General features: G+C 40.7%; 1 protein-coding gene and 2 long non-coding RNA genes across 9 annotated transcripts in view; 2 read left to right on the top strand and 1 right to left on the bottom strand.

The window, feature by feature from the left end:
- The window catches only part of STARD13 (StAR related lipid transfer domain containing 13), a 573658-nt gene that overhangs the window by 328223 nt on the left and 227278 nt on the right, over window positions 1-18157 (top strand). The window lies entirely within an intron of this gene.
- On the bottom strand, window positions 539-13118 carry LOC124903152 (uncharacterized). Of its 2 annotated transcripts, none has more exons than XR_007063751.1 (4): window positions 12959-13118; window positions 8531-8802; window positions 2381-2472; window positions 539-618 (listed from the first exon to the last, which is right to left on the bottom strand). It is a non-coding gene; the product is annotated as an uncharacterized LOC124903152 (long non-coding RNA). The 2 variants fall into 2 exon arrangements; XR_007063752.1 differs by having other exon boundaries at window positions 2381-2449.
- On the top strand, window positions 13306-14726 carry LINC02344 (long intergenic non-protein coding RNA 2344). Its single transcript, NR_146541.1, has 2 exons — window positions 13306-13567; window positions 14523-14726. It is a non-coding gene; the product is annotated as a long intergenic non-protein coding RNA 2344 (long non-coding RNA).

Raw genomic sequence — 18157 nt, 5'->3', positions numbered from 1 at the left:
ATTTACGTTTGTTAGTTTGTTAAATCAATGGGTCCTCAGGAAACAAGAAGTCATTCCAGGAGGCCTGCCAAGGCTGTGCTGGGTTTTTATAGAACCTGAGACCGAAGATGACTGCAGCTCTGTCTTTTTCAAGAAGAGATCTGGGAAGGAAGAGAGTGTCATGTAAAGATTTTAAGCTATTAAGATTGTCCAAGAAAGTCATATTCACATGAATTTTACATTGCAGTTAAGGTGGTGAAGGGAAAAAGTTTTAATCCTGGGAAATAAACTGTAGATAGAGACTTTAAGATCGTGAATATATAGAAAGCTAAAAGTGGTTTCAGAATGGGAACTATAAGAGTGCTCTCAAGAGTAGTGCAATTATTTTTTAAAATAGCGGTATGAGGTTTGAAAATGTTTAATCAGAATATTAATATCTGCTTACCCATAATCTGCTTACCACTCTGCTCACAGTGGATGCCAGCAGGTTATTCAGCTGGGACCAAACAATCCTCTGTGAGGCCGACTTCAACTTCTCCTTCTCTAAGCAAGCTGGGATGCCTGCCACAAAACCAGGCCAACTCCGTGAAGGCGCTTTTAGATGCAAATTGATTTTCTTGGATTTTCTTGCTAAGGTAGCTAAAATATGGAACTTTGGCCATGAGACACTGAAATACTTAAGTTATTAATGTTGGCATCAATTCTAGGTGAAAATGTTCTTCATTTGTAAAAGTGTTCTTTGTATGGTTCAGTTCACAGTACCAGAATAACCAACCACAGCACGCATCACTTTACAATGAGGATATAGTCTAAGAAATGCATTGTTAGGTGATTTCATTGGTTGAGTGAATCAAGTGTAAATCATAGAATGTATTTACACAAACCTGGATGGTATAGCCTACTACACACCTAGGCTATATGGTATGGCCTATTTCTCCTAGGTTACAAACCTCTAGAGCATATTACTATACTAAATACTGTAGGCAATTGTAACACAATGGCAAGTATTTGTGTCTCTAAACACATCTAAAAGGAAAGGGTACAGCAGTCAGGCGTGGTGGCTCATGCCTGTAATCTCAGCACTTTGGGAGGTCAAGGCGGGCAGATCACTTGAGGACAGGAGTTTGAGACCAGCCTGGCCAACATAGTGAAACCCCATCTCTACTAAAACAAACAAACAAACAAAAAAATTAGCCAGGTGTGGTGGCACACATGTGTAATCCAAGCTACATGGGAGGCTGAGGCATGAGAATCATTTGAACCCAGGAGGCAGAGGTTACAGTGAGCCAAGATTGTGCCACTGCACTCCAGCCTAGGTAATAGAGCGAGACTCTGTCTCAAAAAAAGAAATAGAAAGGGTATGCTAAAAACACGGCATTGTAAGCTTATGGGACCACTGTCATATATGCAGTCCAGTTCATCATTGACTGAAACGTTGCGTGGTGTATAACTGTATATGAATACGCCCCAAGAGGGCATCTGTTCTGTCAACAGATGATATTAGGCTATTGACTTATTTTCTGTCTTGCTTTTATATCTGTTTTTATCAAGTAAGCTTAGTGCTGGAACTTCTTTAACTTGCCTAAAATTTTCTTCTTACTATACTTAGTCAATGGAACAGTGTTCAAAGTGCTTTATAATTAACTTGTATTTGTGGCCAGGTGCAGCGGCTCATGCCTGTAATCCTACTACTTTGGGAGGCTGAGGCAGGTGGATCACCTGCGGTCGGAAGTTCAAGACAGCCTGGCCAACATAGTGAAACCCCATCTCTACTAAAAAAAAAAAATACAAAAAAATTAGCCTGTCATGGTGGCATGCACCTGTAGTCCCAGCTACTCAGGAGGCTGAGGCAGGAGAATTGCTTGAACCTGGGAGGCGGAGGTTGCAGTGAGCTGAGATTGCACCACTGCACCCCAGCCTAGGTGACAGAGCAAGACTCCATCTCAAAAAAAATAAAAAATAAATAAATAAATAAATAAACAAACAAACCTGTATTTGCTATCTAGGGCATTCTGAAGGTATTTGATTCTTCCTTTTGCTTTTTTCCATCCCAAGGAAGGAAATCCTTTTTCTAACTCACTCTTATTTCTCTTCATGAAAAGCTGTCTTGTCAACTGAACAGATAGACAAAAAGAAGTAGAGCTATTTAAGCATATTAAAGCCTATGGGTTTCTGTGCCATGTGACCATATTTAGGAAGGAGGGGATCATACATACTTGAAAAATGCCAAACCAAACCGAACTAAACCAGTTATTATCCTAGAGTTTCTGGGGCCTGGGGAGTTTAGCTGGGTGGTTTTGTCTTAGGGTATCTCATAAGATGGCCTTCAAGCTGTCAGCTGGGGTGGCAGTCATCTGAAGGCTTGACTGGGTCTGATGGATCTGCTTCCAAGCTCGCTCACCTAGTTGTTGGCAGGCCTTGGTTTCTCTCTGGCTGTTGGCTGGCAGCTTCAATTTCTTGCCCTGTGTGCCTGACACACAATATGGCAGAGATCTGAGAGAAGAGAGCATGCACTCAAGACAGAAATTGCAGTGTTTGTAACCTGATCTCAGAAGTGACATATCATGTGGGAGGGAACTGACTACATACGAAGTGGCTACCAGGAGGTGGGGATGACTGAGGGCCAAACTGGAGGCTGGATACCACAGGTACAAAAGCATTTAAGATTGTCCTTAGCACATGCCAGGTCAAATCTGAAATCTTCCTAACAAGGAAGCCCCAAAGCAAGACCTTTTTTTTTCTGCTTGAACAAATAGCCTGGGAAAAGCATTTCTTAACGTAGGTCACAGTGACACAAATAATGAAACCAATGGAAAGATAAGATATGAATGATGTTCAAATATATTCACTTCATTGCAAAAATATGAAAAGGAGTTATTGTTAAAGAAGAACTTATATTGGGAGCTCTTATTGGGCTTTCCAATTCCGTGGCAGTTGCTAAATTTCCACTAGATTGTGGAATTGTTGTCCATGCATACTTCTTAATTTTCTAAAATTATGCTCCTCATGGGGCCCAGCAAGTTTTTCTCACTGTCATCTCAGTATCCATTATTACAATAATGATGGTAATTGTTTAGTTGTTAGTGTTCAAAGCAGGATTCAAATTCAGGTCATCAGAAGTCAAAAGCCATCTGTGCCTATTTCCTATTGTACCACATGGCCTCCTCCCTGGACTTTGTGGAGACCTGTGGACCACCAAATCCTTTCTAAGACCCTCTGTCACTTGCAGTTCAATTACAAAAGAACAACAAAAAGAACTGGAAAAGTACTCTTTCTTCCCTCCTGGAGTAACAAGAATAACCCTGTGCACCTAAAGTAGCTTGTCCCCTAATCATCCCATTGCACTCTTTAGTGTATGGGCTTATAGGGATTTGAAACAAACAAACAGCCATACATCTAGCTTGTCAGGGCCCCTCTGTGGTTCATTCTGCCCACAACCATTGGGAGAGCTACAAGAATGAGATGCTGTTGTAAACCCTACATGCACAGCAGGTTTCTTCAAGGTGGGAGAGTGACAGGTTATTTTGGCTTCCCCAGTTCCCTAATCAACCACTGCTGGTGACAATTCTAAACTTTTATGGCATCATTAAATTCTTTAGGCAGAAGCATACCCGTTAGCTTTTGGTGTTTGTAAGCAGCTTGAATTACTTTTTAGCTGTTAAAGTCTAAGAACATTCAAATGACTTTCCTAAAGCTTTCTGATTCTCTGCTTTAAAACCCTACTCTATTTTAATGGAAATGTAATCCATATGTTTGATTCCATTATACTCATATAACAATATTTAGGTAGCCTGTGAGCTAATTGATGTCTAAGTCTTTTGATCTTCTTTATAGTCTCATTTTAAATCATTTATCATAGACACAGGAAGTTATATTGCTGCCAAAAATATTCTGACTTAAAACAGTGAAAAGTTCAAGTTTTGTTAGAAACATTAATTCCACCAAATTTCCGTGAGTTCTTGTCATGTTAAAACAGGTTCATTCATTCTCAAAGTCAACAGTAGCATCCTGTGAAGTGATATAAACACAAGATTGGGACTTCAATGCAAAGCAAGATCAAGAATAAAACATGAGCCACAAAAACTTCCTCTTAACATCTAAATGTGTTCTATAATATCAAAAGTACAGGATGATACTCAACTATTCTTTTCATGTATTTTATATCCGTTTTATCATCACTTTTCTGTGTAGAATTGACCATTCTATTCTGTCAGCATTTTTTGTTTGTTTTTTAAACATCTTTTGAGATGATACTACGTTTAGATGCTATTTATATTAACAATAACAAAAAAATCTAAGTCAAGAAAATATACAATTAAAATTAGAAAAGAAGAGCACATCACTTATATCAGGGTTGTCAACTTTAGCCACATAGACTCATTTGGAGCCTTTCAGAAGTACTAATTCTCTGACCTCCTCCCGGAGATTCTGATTCAATTCAGATGGGGTCTTGGTATCCATATTTTTAAAAGCCCTGCAGAAGATTTCACTGTGCAGTCCAGGTTGAGAACCACTGACTTACCTTAATTCCCACATAATAACTTGCAGAATTCTGGGGCGAATACAGGGTTATATTCTAAGCCCTAAGAAAAGTTTTGCTTAATTGAGGTCAGAAGGAACTTGTCCTATCACAGGGACAGAAAAAAAAAGATCAGTCGTGCCTGGAGAATAATGAAATAGGTGGTAAGAGTGGATGTCAGAAGTGTAGACAGAGGGTCAGGTTATAAGATAAAGTTAGGCTTTGTTGGCAGGAAAAGAAGTTTTGATTTGGTTCTACAGGAGATAAGAACAAAGGGCTTCAAGCAGAGGAGTGACAAGACCTGAATAAATTACTACCAGTGATGGTCTAGGTGAGAGATAAACAGTGACATGGACTAGGGTGATAGTGATAGAAATGGAGAGAAAGGAACAGATTTGGAGTGTGTCTTGAAATAGAGACAATAACAGGTTGGTTGTTGGAAGCTAGGGAGAGGGACTACTAGATTTGTAGATTTGTTTTTTTTTTTTTTTTTTTTAAGACAGGGTCTCAATCTGTTGCCCAGTCTGGAGTACGGTGATGGAATCATGGCTCAGTGCAGCCTCAACCTTGAAGACTCAAGCGTCCTCCCACATCAGCCTTCCGAGTAGCTGGGACTACAGGCTTGCGTCACCACTCCTGGCTAATTTTTGCATTTTTGTAGAGATGGGGTTTCTTCATGTTGCCCAGACCAGTCTGGTCTCAAACTCCTGGGCTCAAACAATGTTCCCACCTCCACCTCCCAAGGTGCTGGGATGATAGGCATGAGCCACCGAGCCCAGCCAGATTTTTTTTTTTAATTAATAATTTTTTTTAATTTTACTATTATTATACTTTAAGTTTTAGGGTTTTGATCTGAGCAGCTAAGTGGAGTGTAGCAATGTTGGCCAAGATGAGGATAACTGGCAGATTTGCATGGGAGAGAAAAAGGACTCAAAGGTTCTCTGTTGGCTCCATTAGCTTTGGAATGCCTACTAGACATCCAAAAGTAAAAGTCAAGGAATTGGATGCATAAGTATCGGCTTTGTAGGAAAGTCAGAGCCAGAGATATAATGTGGGAATTATTGGCATATGACTACTTTATAAAACTTGGGAACTGGGTGGAGCTACTTAGAAGAGATTGCAGATAAGGGGAAGGGGCCAAGGGCCAAGTCCTGGGGGGCTCTTTGGTTAGAGTGCAATATTTGGACATAAATATGTCCATATGCAAGTACTATTAGTACATACGCACGTACTAAATTTTCAGGAAAATAGAAAGAGAGCAACATTATTTCTAAATTCAACATTCTTCTATCACAATAGTACTGCTATATTACATAATCTTTTGTGATAGAGTTACAAATTTGGTCCTAGAACTGTTGATGGACAAAAATAATCATTGATGGGCATGGTGGCTCGTGCCTCTGTGCTCCCAGCTACTCAGGAGGCTGAGGCGGGAAGATAGCTCTTGCCCAGGAATTCAAAGATTCAGTAAGCTATGATCATGCGACTGCCCTTCAGCCTGGGTGGCACAGTGAGACCCCATGTCTTAAAAAAAAAAAAACAAACTATAAAAAAACCCTCACTGATCAAATGCCTTTTTAATTTAAAAATTATATTGCAAAGTAAAAAAGCAAACAAACTTTTTTTAAGGAAAATACTTCTCAAGTTGCCTGCATATGCACAAAAAAGAAAAACACAGTTTATTAAATAAAAAATGTTTTTAGCATGAGCACTCCTCTGGTTACTATAACTGGTTGGGCCTACGTATAATGGGATAAGAGCTTTACTTTTGGCAGGACTTGGCCAGTGTCCTGATACCCAGGAATAGTCTGATCAAACAAAGCTTAGCTCTTAGGAAAGGCTGTGCATATTGATTTTTCCAATATAGCATCCATTTACTGACCTTTAAGGGTTATGCTTTGCCTCTGACACCACTGGTTAAGGTAAAATTTTTCAGAGCATATAAATAGATAACCAATGTCTTAAATGTTTGTATTTGTGGCCTGGCAGAGTGGCTTATGCCTGTAATCCCAGCACTTAGGGAAGCTGTCCGTGGCGGGCAGATCCCTTGAGGTCAAGAGTTTAAGACCAGCCTGGCCAACATGGTGAAACCTCGTATCTACTAAAAATACAAAAATTAGCCGGGTATGGTGGGGATATGCCTGTAATTCCAGCTACTCCAGAGGCTGAGGCAGGGGAATCACTTGAACCCAAGAGGAGGAGGTTGCAGTGAGCTGAGATTGTACCAGTGCACTCCAGCCTGGGCCACAGAGCTTCCATCTCAAAAAAAAAAAAAGTTTGCATTTGTAAAGGGTGTAACTTAACCTTGGCCTAACCTATCTGCAATATGCTGGCCCACCCTGGGGGGCAATACAGCGTCCTCCTTGAATTGGAAAAAAGAAAGACCATATTCATTAATTGCTGGTGGCTGCTCTGAATAAGAGGCACAAGCCCAGCTGGTTCGCTGAAATTTCTTTTTTTCTTCTTCTTTTTTTTTTTTTTTGGAGACGGAGTCTCGCTCTGTCGCCCAGGCTGGAGTGCAGTGGCACGATCTTGACTCACTGCAACCTCCACCTCCCGAGTTGAAGCCACCACACCCGGCTAATTTTTTTGTATTTTTAGTAGAGACAGGATTTCACCATGTTAGCGAGGTTGGTCTTGATATCCTGACCTTGTGATCCGCCCACCTCGGCCTCTCAAAGTGCTGGGATTACAGGCTTGAGGCACCGCGCCATGCCGTTCACGGAAATTTCTTGAGAGGACCGCAGAATATGATTTTTTGTAAGCCACCAACTTGATCATTTAGACATAGAGCATGTCTAATGAAATTAATATCTACTTCTCTTTTGTGCTTTTTACATCTTATGTTGAACAAAGCACATATGGAGAAAATTTTGCTTTAAGACTTTGTGAAGTTTCCTAGGGGTTTATCCAACAGTATATTTCTATTCTGTCCTTTTGCAAGTTTAGCAAGCTTGTAAAATTAAAATAAAAGTGGTTTTAAAAGTCTTACAACATTTCTGGGCTTTTTTCAGAGTCCTTGAATGTTTAGTCCTAAAAGAGTTGAGTTGAAGGACAAACATTTTTGTCACGTTTGTAGTTAGTCCATAAGTATTTATTGAGCCATGAAATAGCATCCTTGTCAAAGCATGTTGGGACAGTAGTGCAGGATATTAATTCAGTACCATGGCTGTATCTTGGTGAGGCACATAAATTTTACTATGCTGCCCAAATCACTTAACTCATCTATCTGACCAGAAATGAAGCAAGCTTCCAGAAATTGCACAAGAGCAGTATAGAATGTAGCATGACTACACAATATTTTATTTGCAAATCTGCTGTGTCAAGACATCTTACACTCTCAGGCAGTATCTTTCTTTAGTAACATTTTTCTCCAAAATAAAATTTTCAGAATCTTATGTTTCTGGTTTTTTGTACAATAGAGGCTTCATTATCTATAGTGCATCATGGCATATTGTGTTTGTTGAATGCTCCTTTCTCCTTCCTATATAGGAAATTCAATGAACAAGAGAGACAATTATGCAATCCATAAAAATTCATACATTTGCTTGCAATGATATTAAACTGGAAGGTCTTATGCTTCTTATTCTCTCTGCATCTGGATAAAATGGAAACATTTCAAATTTCTTGAAGCATCTTTGAAAGTGTTTTTCCACACTGGGAAACAGGGAGACACAGTCTCTACAAAAGATAAAGAAAATTAGCTGAACATGGTGTCACGTGCCTGTCCTAGCTACTCCTACTTGGGAGGCTGAGGTGGGAGGATTGTTTGAGCCCTGGAAGTTGAGGCTGCAGTGAGCCATGATTGCACCACTGCACTCCAACTTGGGTGACAGTGTGAGAACCTATCTCAAAAAAGAAGTGTTTTTCCATTGGAAATAAATATTTATTATTAGAAGAACAATCTAAAAGTATGAATGTTTGAATATCATAAAAAGCGTAACAAATTATGCTAATCTACCCCTTTGTGGGAGCATACATGTTGTCACAATGACACTACAAAGATGGCAAGATAGTGCTTCCCTCCCTTACCTGATGTTGAGTTGTATTCATCACAGAAATCTTAACAACCAACTAGAAAACAATGATGGATTGCACCTTTCCTGGCCACAAGGTGTTGTCCTCATAGTCTTGGTAATAAATAGTATTTTCCTTTTTTTTTTTTCTTTGAGACAGAGTCTCGCTGGTCTTGAACTCCTGACTTCGTGATCCACCTGCCTTGGCCTCCCAAAGTGCTGGGATTACAGGCATGAGCCACCGTGCCCAGCCATTGTGTCTTTCTTTTAGTGCCAAGAAAAGATTTCCTAAGCAGTAGATATAAAAGAGAACTTATTGTTACAATGAACATAAGTCAAAAAAGCTTTTGCATATTTCAAGTATTATCTTATAGAAGGTTTTATTCTTTCTAGACAGAAAGAAGAGAGGCTTTGTGCTAAGTGTTTGATTTCTAGCTCTTAGATCTAAAACAAAGCAATGACAAATGAAAAGTGTATGTGTAGCCTTTAGAGTAGCACCATAAAGGTGGGAAAGGGGTGGAAGCTATTTGGGATATCATACATATAAAATCAAAACCCATCAAAAAATGGGTATTAACATCTGTGAAGTTAGCATCAGTTTAGTCATATGGTGACATAAATATTTGTCACAACTACAGTGCTAGAAGCATAGATTGTACAGTGTCTTAAATGCATGTCCTTTAACTTTTGGTACCTATAGCTGTGTAGTAGAGGGTAGCGTTGGTGGTATTAGGGCATGATGGAAGATGACTGGCACAGCATCACGATCTAGTGGTTAAGAACAGCTACTGGAGTCAAAGCTACATGAGTTTGAATCCTGCCTCCACCAGTTAAACCAGTGGGCCCTTGGGCAAGATAATTAATCTCAATGTTTGTCAGTTTCTTCATCTTTAAAGAGGAGGATAAGCATAGTACTTACCTTAGAGGGTTGTTATGAGGATTAAATGAGTTAATATTTGCAAAGAACTTAGCACAGTGTCTGGCCCATAATAAACCCTATGTAAGGGATTATTGAAGACAACATACATATAAGTAGGGAATAGAGGAGCAGAGGCATGTGTTCCTGATAAAGGAGATCCTTTAACCCCCACCCGAAACCACCCATTTCCTTCACTTCTAGATTCATATGCTTTGTTCCTGTATCTTTCTTTCTTTTTTTTTTTTTTTTTTTTTGAGACGGAGTCTCGTTCTGTCGCCCAGGCTGGAGTGCAGTGCCGCGATCTCAGCTCACTGCAAGCTCTGCCTCCCGGGTTCAAACAATTCTCCTGCCTCAGCATCCCTGAGTAGCTGGGACTACAGGCACATGCCACCACGCCTGGCTAATTTTTTGTATTTTTAGTAGAGACAGGGTTTCACCATGTTAGCCAGGATGGTCTCGATCTCCTATATCTTATAAACTCATTCTAGATCCCATGTCCAGGGAATTCCAAGAACTAAGACATTCAGCTCACTCTCCTTGCTCTGACTGGGATTTTTTAAAAAATCAAATGCTAAATATATTGTTAGCATGGCTGGCAGCATCTCGTATCGATCCATTAGTGTTATATCATGAATCTTTCATTATACTAACATTTTGTCTTTCTGAAAGACTGTCAACTATGATTTCATCATCAAAATCACCATCAGCTGTAGAGCTATGCAAATGAGAATTCATCTGCATGCTTTTGGCCTAAATGGAATTTGATGGAGACCTAATTAAAATGAGAGAAATTGGACTAGATAATCTCTAAGGTCCCATTTAACTTTAAAGATCAATGAGTCCGTAAAACTAGACCGTGAGTCTAAAAGAACCTTAATGTCCTCAGTCTTTTAGTACCTTTTCTGTCTGGATTTCATGGGTTGGTCTGATAGTTGAGAGAAAGGGCAGAAGCCCATAAGTGTACCCTAGGAAACCTACCAGTGTCACTCCCATGAAGCTTTGGCTACTTAGCAACTTATACCAGCAACTTATAACTGGTACCTTCTGCTATTGGAACTACATCTACCAGAATTGAAGAAGGGACAAGAGGGGACAAGTCAGGAGTCCGGAGCCTGCAAACTCCTCTAAGATCTCAACAGTCTTTGCACTACACCCCGGCAGGGCTGACTGCAGGGTCATGTGACCTCTGCAGTCACACAGGGCCCCATGCATAGAAGGGCCCCTCATTTGGTTTAATGTTCTGCTGTTACCATCTTGAAATTCCTAATAATTATTGAATGGAAGGCCCACATTTTCATTCTGTCTTGGACCCTGCAAATGATGTAGCTGGTCCTGCACTCAGGGGAAGCCAGTTCCTTGTAGAGCCATGACTTGCTTTGTGAATTCACCTTCACTGGTGACTTGGTGTTATATACGTAAGACAACAGCCATGTGTAAATCACTGAAAGGACCTTGGAAACAGTCCCTTGAGTATCTACAATCTACAGTCCACATCCTCTGTGCCCCTTGCTTTTGGGGAAGGTGAACCCCCAAAAAAGAAAGTGTTTATTTTATTTTATTGTTTATTGATTCTGACAACAGCATTATAAAGTAAGGCAATAATATGACCCTTGATGTTTGCAGAGTTACTGATACAGTGAGTGTATTTCCTTATGACATATATTGAAGCAAATATTTTAATTAGTTTTTTAAAAAGTATTGTGGTACTGAGGAATAATAGGAAATTGGGACAAGGTACAATTCTTGATATGATAGACTTGCAGATCTTTTTTTTAAATGTCTTAATTAAGCTGTGTCTTAATTAAATATTTACAATGCTCATAATAGATTAGTTCATTAAACCACTACTATTAAAACCATTAAAGCTATTTCTTGTGTAGGTTTCACCTAGGGTACTTACTCAGAAAAGGAAATTAGGAGAGGTAGTAATAAAGCCTATCATTTATCATCAGGGATTTTATATCTGCCAACATTTTATTTTGTCATTATTCCCATTTGTCTCTGGGAAAAACACTAAAGCTGACTGGAGTCTAGTCTTATAAAATTGCATAGGTTAAATCCTCCTTTGCTAATGCAAATGTAAATATTTTACATTTAACCTTGTAAAATATACACACATATATGTATATATATATTTCTTTTGTTTAAAAATTATTATTTAATGTGAAGTATTATGTTGGTGCAAAAATAATTGCAGTCTTTGCTATTACTTTCAATGGCAAAAACCACAATTACTTTTTCACCAACCTGATATTTCTGGACAATTGAAAATAAGAGTGCATCCATGCGTTTTCACTTGTTCTTAGGCTACTTCATCCAATAATATATTTGAGTAGTTCTGAACAGGAACACAAGTAAGGAGAATTTTTTTTTTTTTTTTTCTGATACAGGGTCTTGCTGTGTCACCCAGGATGGAGTGCAGTGGTGTGATCTTGGTTCACTGAAACCTCAACTTCTGTGGCTCAAGCCATCCTCCCACTTCAGCCTCCTGAGTAGCTGGGACTACAGATACATGCTACCATGCCCAGCTAATTTTTTAAAATTTTTTGAAGAGACAGAGTCTCGCCATGTTGCCTGGGCTGGCCTCAAACTCTCCGGCTCAAGCAATCCTTCCACCTCGGCTTCCCCAAATGTTGAGATTACAGGTGTGAGCCACCGAACATGGCCAGCAGGCAGCTTATAATCAGCCAATTCTAGGCCATGTTGTAAGGAAGTGGACCTGTCTTTGACAGCAGGGTCCTGGCACCCAAGTGGACACAGGTGGTGGTCCTGTAACAGTGGCTTGATTACGCTGTTTTGTGTGTCTAATCTGAACATAGGGAAGTATAAGATGTGTAAGCAGCTTTATCAAAGAGTTATAACAAGTTTTACTTTCCAGATATGAAATGCTGAATTTGTATAAATAAATTAAACCTTAATAGCACAGTCATTAGTATTCAGAAATTTAAGCTATAAGATCACTCTGGAGAAGCCCTCCTGTATCCATACTTGAATATAATGATTTACTTGTGTCTCTGTTTACCCTTAAACCACAAGCTCATCCAGGGAAAGGGTAATGTCTTATTCATTGCAGACATGCCAGCTGCCCTAGCATGTAGCTCGTATACAGGAGGTGCACAATGAATGCTTGCTGAGTGAATGAATTAATGAATGAATGAATGAATGAATGAATAATATTTTAACATTAACAGCTACCCAGTATTGGACTCTGTTGTATTCCTGGCACTGTGCTAAGGACTCCGTGTATGTTCGTACTTAATGCCCAGGCTTCTCAGCAGGTACTACCAAGGTCACTGTTAACACAAACAGCACCTTGCTGTGATTTAGAAAATTCACATCAGTCCTCTCTGGGATGATGAATTAGAAAAAGTTGCCTCTTCAGTGACAATGCAGCCCCGTAGTTGTGAGGCTTGGCGAATGTAGCTGGGGCTGAATTTCAGCCTCCACACACCTCGTTGGTTGCTTGCTGTGCGTATGGCACAGACTACATAATGGTACGTGTTGACTATGCTTACCGTTACTAACCTACTTTAGGCGGAAGAGACCTCCAAGGCTGGGAGAGGTTAAGTGGCGTGTGCAAGGCACATACCCACTACTTGTAGCTATGTAGGTTTGAGAGAGCAGCATGACTCTCATGACTTATGAGACCCCAGTGACTGCAGGACCTCCACCCTAATCACAGTCTAGCACTTAGGAAGGCATCACAGTTCATGGGTGTCGTAGTGACAGCATGGAACCATTTTCGGAGTCCTGCCCCACTGTTGCCTCACACAGGGTGTCACAGAGGGAGCTGGCTGTGACGTTCCAGCATCCCAGAGTCTCAATGATAATGATGGGGATTAATGGTGATCCTGATTTTTTCTCTAGCGCATTACAGCTAAGTGTTAGTCTATGAATGTAATATAACAGTGGTTTAAAATCAACAGATTGTAACAAAAGTCCCTCACAGGAGACAAAGCTGGTGCCGTGATCTCTATTGCATTAATGAGACAAATGAGGATAGGAAACATCATGTGGCTTCCCAGGGCTCCATGGCAGGGGCGTGGCAGGGGGGATTTGAGTCCAGGCTCCTACTCCAGTGCTGACCTTTCCCGTCACTTTCCTGCTGCCCAGTGTGAGCTCTATCCTGTCCAGGTCAGTCAGCTGCTGTTTCCTCCATCCAGCCAGTGACACCCAAACCTCACGGAGCATCGGAATTACCAGAAAAGCTTTTTAAAATACAGGCTGTGTTTTAAAATGTGTGAGTGTGTGGTGTGTGTGTGCGCTGCGGGGGGGTGGGGGGTGTAGGAGTGTGTGTGTATTTATTTCATAACAACCTTTCCAGGTGTTAGTTTACCGCCTGCCTGGCGCTGTCCTTCCATCAGTTATTGGAAATGGCTCTAAACTCTATTTCAGGCTCATGGCTTATGCCATGGAATGTTTTCCAGGTCAGATACCTTTATCTCTCTCTCTGCCTACCTAGATCCTGCCCACTTTTAAAGAGCTGGCTCAAGCCCTTCATGGTTTCCTTGCCAATTCCATTCTAGTGATGCCCACTCCCACCTCTTGAGGGTCTCTCCTTTTATGTCTTGGGGGTGAGAGGGCAGGAGGACCGGCCCTGACAAGGGTCCGCTGTGTGTCAGGCCCTGATTAAGGGTTTTTCCGTATGTCATCCTTCCATGACACTGAGGTCCCGATCATTACTTTAAAGATGAGGTAAGTGAAGGAGCTTGGCCAAGTTCAGTGCAGGTAGTGAAGTGCAGACTGGGGTCTCATCTGGCTTCAAGTTTCCCCCTTTTCCATCCACTCTGCTGAGTATTTCAATCTGGTCCTTGTCTCACCAGCAAGATTTCTTTTGTAGTAGAATAGAGAAACTTTGTCTTGCAATAAAAAAGTCTTTCACCCTCTGCTGTATAATCCACATAGTAAAATAACCTAATTGTTGAGGAAATACAAGAATGGATGCCTTCTCTTACTTCTCTTGCAAATCAGTGCCTAGCAAACTTCTAAAAGGTGAATTGTTGATAGATTATATGACTTATTTTTCTTCAAGCTTTTTAATATGACAAGGGAATTCCAGCCAGTATTTTTACCTCTTCTTTCTTTTCAGAGTCATGAAGTATTAGAGCACATGGATGTCTTATAGATGATCTTGTCCAAGTCATTCATTTTAGAAGAGCTGATGGAACTTCAGAGAGGTTAAATTCACCTGTTGCAGGTCACCTATCTCCTTAGTGACAAGTTTGAGATTACAGCCCAACTTCAAGTCACACTGACTCTTGTGATTATAAGTGAAATCATACTTGGCCACTCATTCCTGAGCAAGATGCCTGTTTCTGAAATTAGTCTCTAGAGTACCAACTTTTCAGGAGAAAAGATGGTACCTTACTTACCTTCAAGAGCAAAGCCTTTCCCATGTTTCATAAGTGTTTCTTGGCAGCCTAACTGACTCAGTGACTGATTAAAGGAAAGACTGAAGGACATGAAAGGCATTGACTTGCTCCCTCCTAAGTGAGTTCCTCCTCAGTTTACCTCTGATGACCCCAAACCCCACCTGTCCTGCCATGATCCCAACCTCAGGTGTTTGGTGCACCTGTCAGCTTTGTAGACTTGTGCCAGATAAACTCCTACCCTCCAGCCTCCTTCTAAGGTGCAATTGGAAATTTTCATTTTACAGCTAAAGGAACCTAATACTGCTGTTGTTATTGCATGTTGGAGGGAGGAGGGAAATGGAGAAGGCATAGTTGAAATTTATTTTTTATTTTATTTTTTGAGGCTGAGTCTCACTCTGTTGCCCAAGCTGGAGTGCAGTGGCATGATCTTGGCTCACTGCAACCTCCGCCTCCCAGGTTCAAGCTATTGTCATGCCTCAGCCTCCTGAGTAGCTGGGATTTGGTGCCCGCCACCAAGCCCAGCTAATTTTTGTATTTTTAGTAGAGATGGGGTTTCATCATGTTGGCCAGGCTTGTCTCGAACTCCTGACCTCAAAGGATCTGCCCATCTTGGCCTCCCAAAGTGCTGGGATTACAAGCTTGAGCCACCGTACCCAGCCAGCATAGCTGAAATTTAAAAATATGTTTGTCATCTGTTTAAAATGGAAATGTCCCTTTTGGCCACTTAAAATTATTATTATTATTATCATTATTATTATAGAGTTTAAGAAAAAAATGAATTTCTTGAGTAATTTCCCAAATTATATGATTTTATTTTTACGAAGATTGCAAGGTTCTCATTCACTTAATTTATTCAACAAATATTTCTTAAGGACCTACTATGCTAAACACTCACAGCACTGAGGATTCAGTGTTGAACACAACTGACAAAATCAGCAGCCTTACTGAGCTTCTATTCAAGTGGTGGAAACAATAATAACTATATGTAAGTGTTGTAATTAGCATATTATGAAGAAAAAACAAAAAATGTAGAGAAGCTGGAGACTGAAAGGGGGTGCTATTTGGGATACAATGAACAGAAAAGGTGTCTCAGGTGGTGTGGGCTGCTCTGACAGAATATCATAGACTGGTGGCTTAAACCGCAGACGTATTTCTCAGAGTTCTGGAGGCTGGAAGTCCGAGATCAGGGTGCCAGCATGGTTGGATTCTAAAAAGGACCATTTTGCAGTCTGCAGACAACCGTTTTCTGGTTGTATCCCCACCTGGCAGAAAGAGAGTGAGAAATCTCTCTGTGGTCCCTTTTATAAGGTCACTAATCCCATTTACCAGAGCTCTCCTCTCATGACCTAATTACCTCCTAAAAGCCCCATCTCCCAATACCATCAAACTGGGGGTTGGGACTTCAACATATGAAATTTGAGGGGGACACAGACATTCAGTTCGTTGCAAAAGAACTCTCTGGAGAAGTGGTGTTGAAGCAGGGACATTCAGAGATCTGGGAGAAAGAATGTTCTAGGCAGAAGGAAAAGGACGGGAATGAGTCCTGAAGCAGGAGCCTGTGGAAGTGTCTGTGGATAGGTGGGGAGGTGGGCAGGGCTGGAATGCAGTGAGCTACAGGGAGAGGTTTAGGGAATGGGGTCGACAGGTAGCCAGCTCCTCTGCAGCTTTATGCCTGGGAGAGAGTCTGGATATGCTTTGGGGTATGATTTGCTGTGAGCAATTCACCTGGTTTATGATGTAAAATGTGGAAGGAAAAGACAATACAGGCCAAGAGTGGAAGCAGTGAGACCTTTTACAGGCCTCCTTGATTATTCAAATTTAGTTAATGTCTCAATTATACAAAAAATACTTAGTTGCTAATTACGTAAAGACCATCACATAATTAAGAGGAAGGAGCAAATAACCTCTGGCCCTTGGTTTTTTTATGCAAATGGGAGAAATTAGCTACATTCATTCATCCATGAAAAACATTTATTGAGTGAACATCATGTGTCAGACACTCTGCTATGCTCTGCACTGAGAAAAAAGATGAAAAAGACCCTAATTTTAACTAACACTCAAGGAACTTAGGACAAGTATGGTAGTAGAAGAATGAAGAACAGACCAGGTGTGGTGGCACACACCTGTAATCCCAGCACTTTGGGAGCCTGAGGCAGGTGGACCACCTAAGGTCAGGAGTTCGAGACTAGCCTGACCAACATGGCGAAACCTGTTCTCTACTAAAAAAAAAAAAAAAAAAATACAAAATCAGCCAGGCATGGTGGCGCATGCCTGTAATCCCAGCTACTTGGGAGGCTGAGGCAGGAGAATCACTTGAACCTGGGAGGCAGGGATTGCAGTGAGCCGAGCTTGCACCATTGCACTCCAGCCTGGACAACAAAGAGCAAAACCCCACCTCAAAACAAAACAAAACAAGAAAACAAGAATGAAGATGTAGGGAGAGATCAGAGGGTGGAGTGGCTTGTCACAGAGGAGGTCTCTGAGTTGAGCCTTAAAGGAGAGAAATTACACTGGAAGGAGAAGGAAGTACAGAGCACAGGCAAAGAAACAGATGCACGGAGCAGCATGAGGAATTATTTGATGTTGCTGGGACCTGAAGTGCAAGAAAAAGAGCCAGTGAAGAGAAGACTAGCAAGGGGGGTCAGAGCCAGATGAGGAGCTTGCAAAGCTCATCCTTTGGTGCTCTATTGGATAGTCTGCAAATTATTTTCTGACTCCAGGATGACAAAAATATGTGAATCCATTTTCTTTTCTCTCTCATGAGCATCACAAGCCCGTTTATTTTTATATCCATTCTGTCTAAATTACTTTGCTCTACAACTTTATAGCATAATCATGAGAGCCTCTTTTCTTGCATGGATGTTGCAAAGAGCATGAAGTCCTCCATGGCTTTTAAAGAAGGCTTTTGTTGAATTAGCAGAACCTACCAGAGCTCCTGGAAATTCTGGGTTTCCGGTCTCTGGGGGCGTCTTCACTCCAAGCCTCGGTGCCCTTACTTGGATTTGCAAGTTTAGAGTTAAAGTAAGTGTCAGAAATACGTGTGGTGATTACAGACACTTTGTAGCCAATAATTTCCATAGTGGAACTGATATCACTTCTTGACCTATTTTTTCAGAGGACTTTTGCGCAATAGTTACTTTAGAAGCACCCTCTTGAAAAGAAATCTGAAATGGACGTAAAAGGCTATATTTATTTGTTCATAGCATTTCTTGATGACCTGCTTTATGCAAGATTTCAAAGAGCTCACAGCTATTAATGACTACTTAAAACTCTTAATATCCAAAATATATAAGGAACTCATACAAATCAATACCAAAAATACAAACAACTGGATTAAAAAATGGGCAAGGGA

Source organism: Homo sapiens, chromosome 13 (assembly GCF_000001405.40).
Source record: "Homo sapiens chromosome 13, GRCh38.p14 Primary Assembly".
Lineage (NCBI taxonomy): Eukaryota > Metazoa > Chordata > Mammalia > Primates > Hominidae > Homo > Homo sapiens.
The sequence above is the reverse complement of the archived record's forward strand: the minus strand, read 5'-3'. Positions and strand labels throughout refer to the sequence as shown.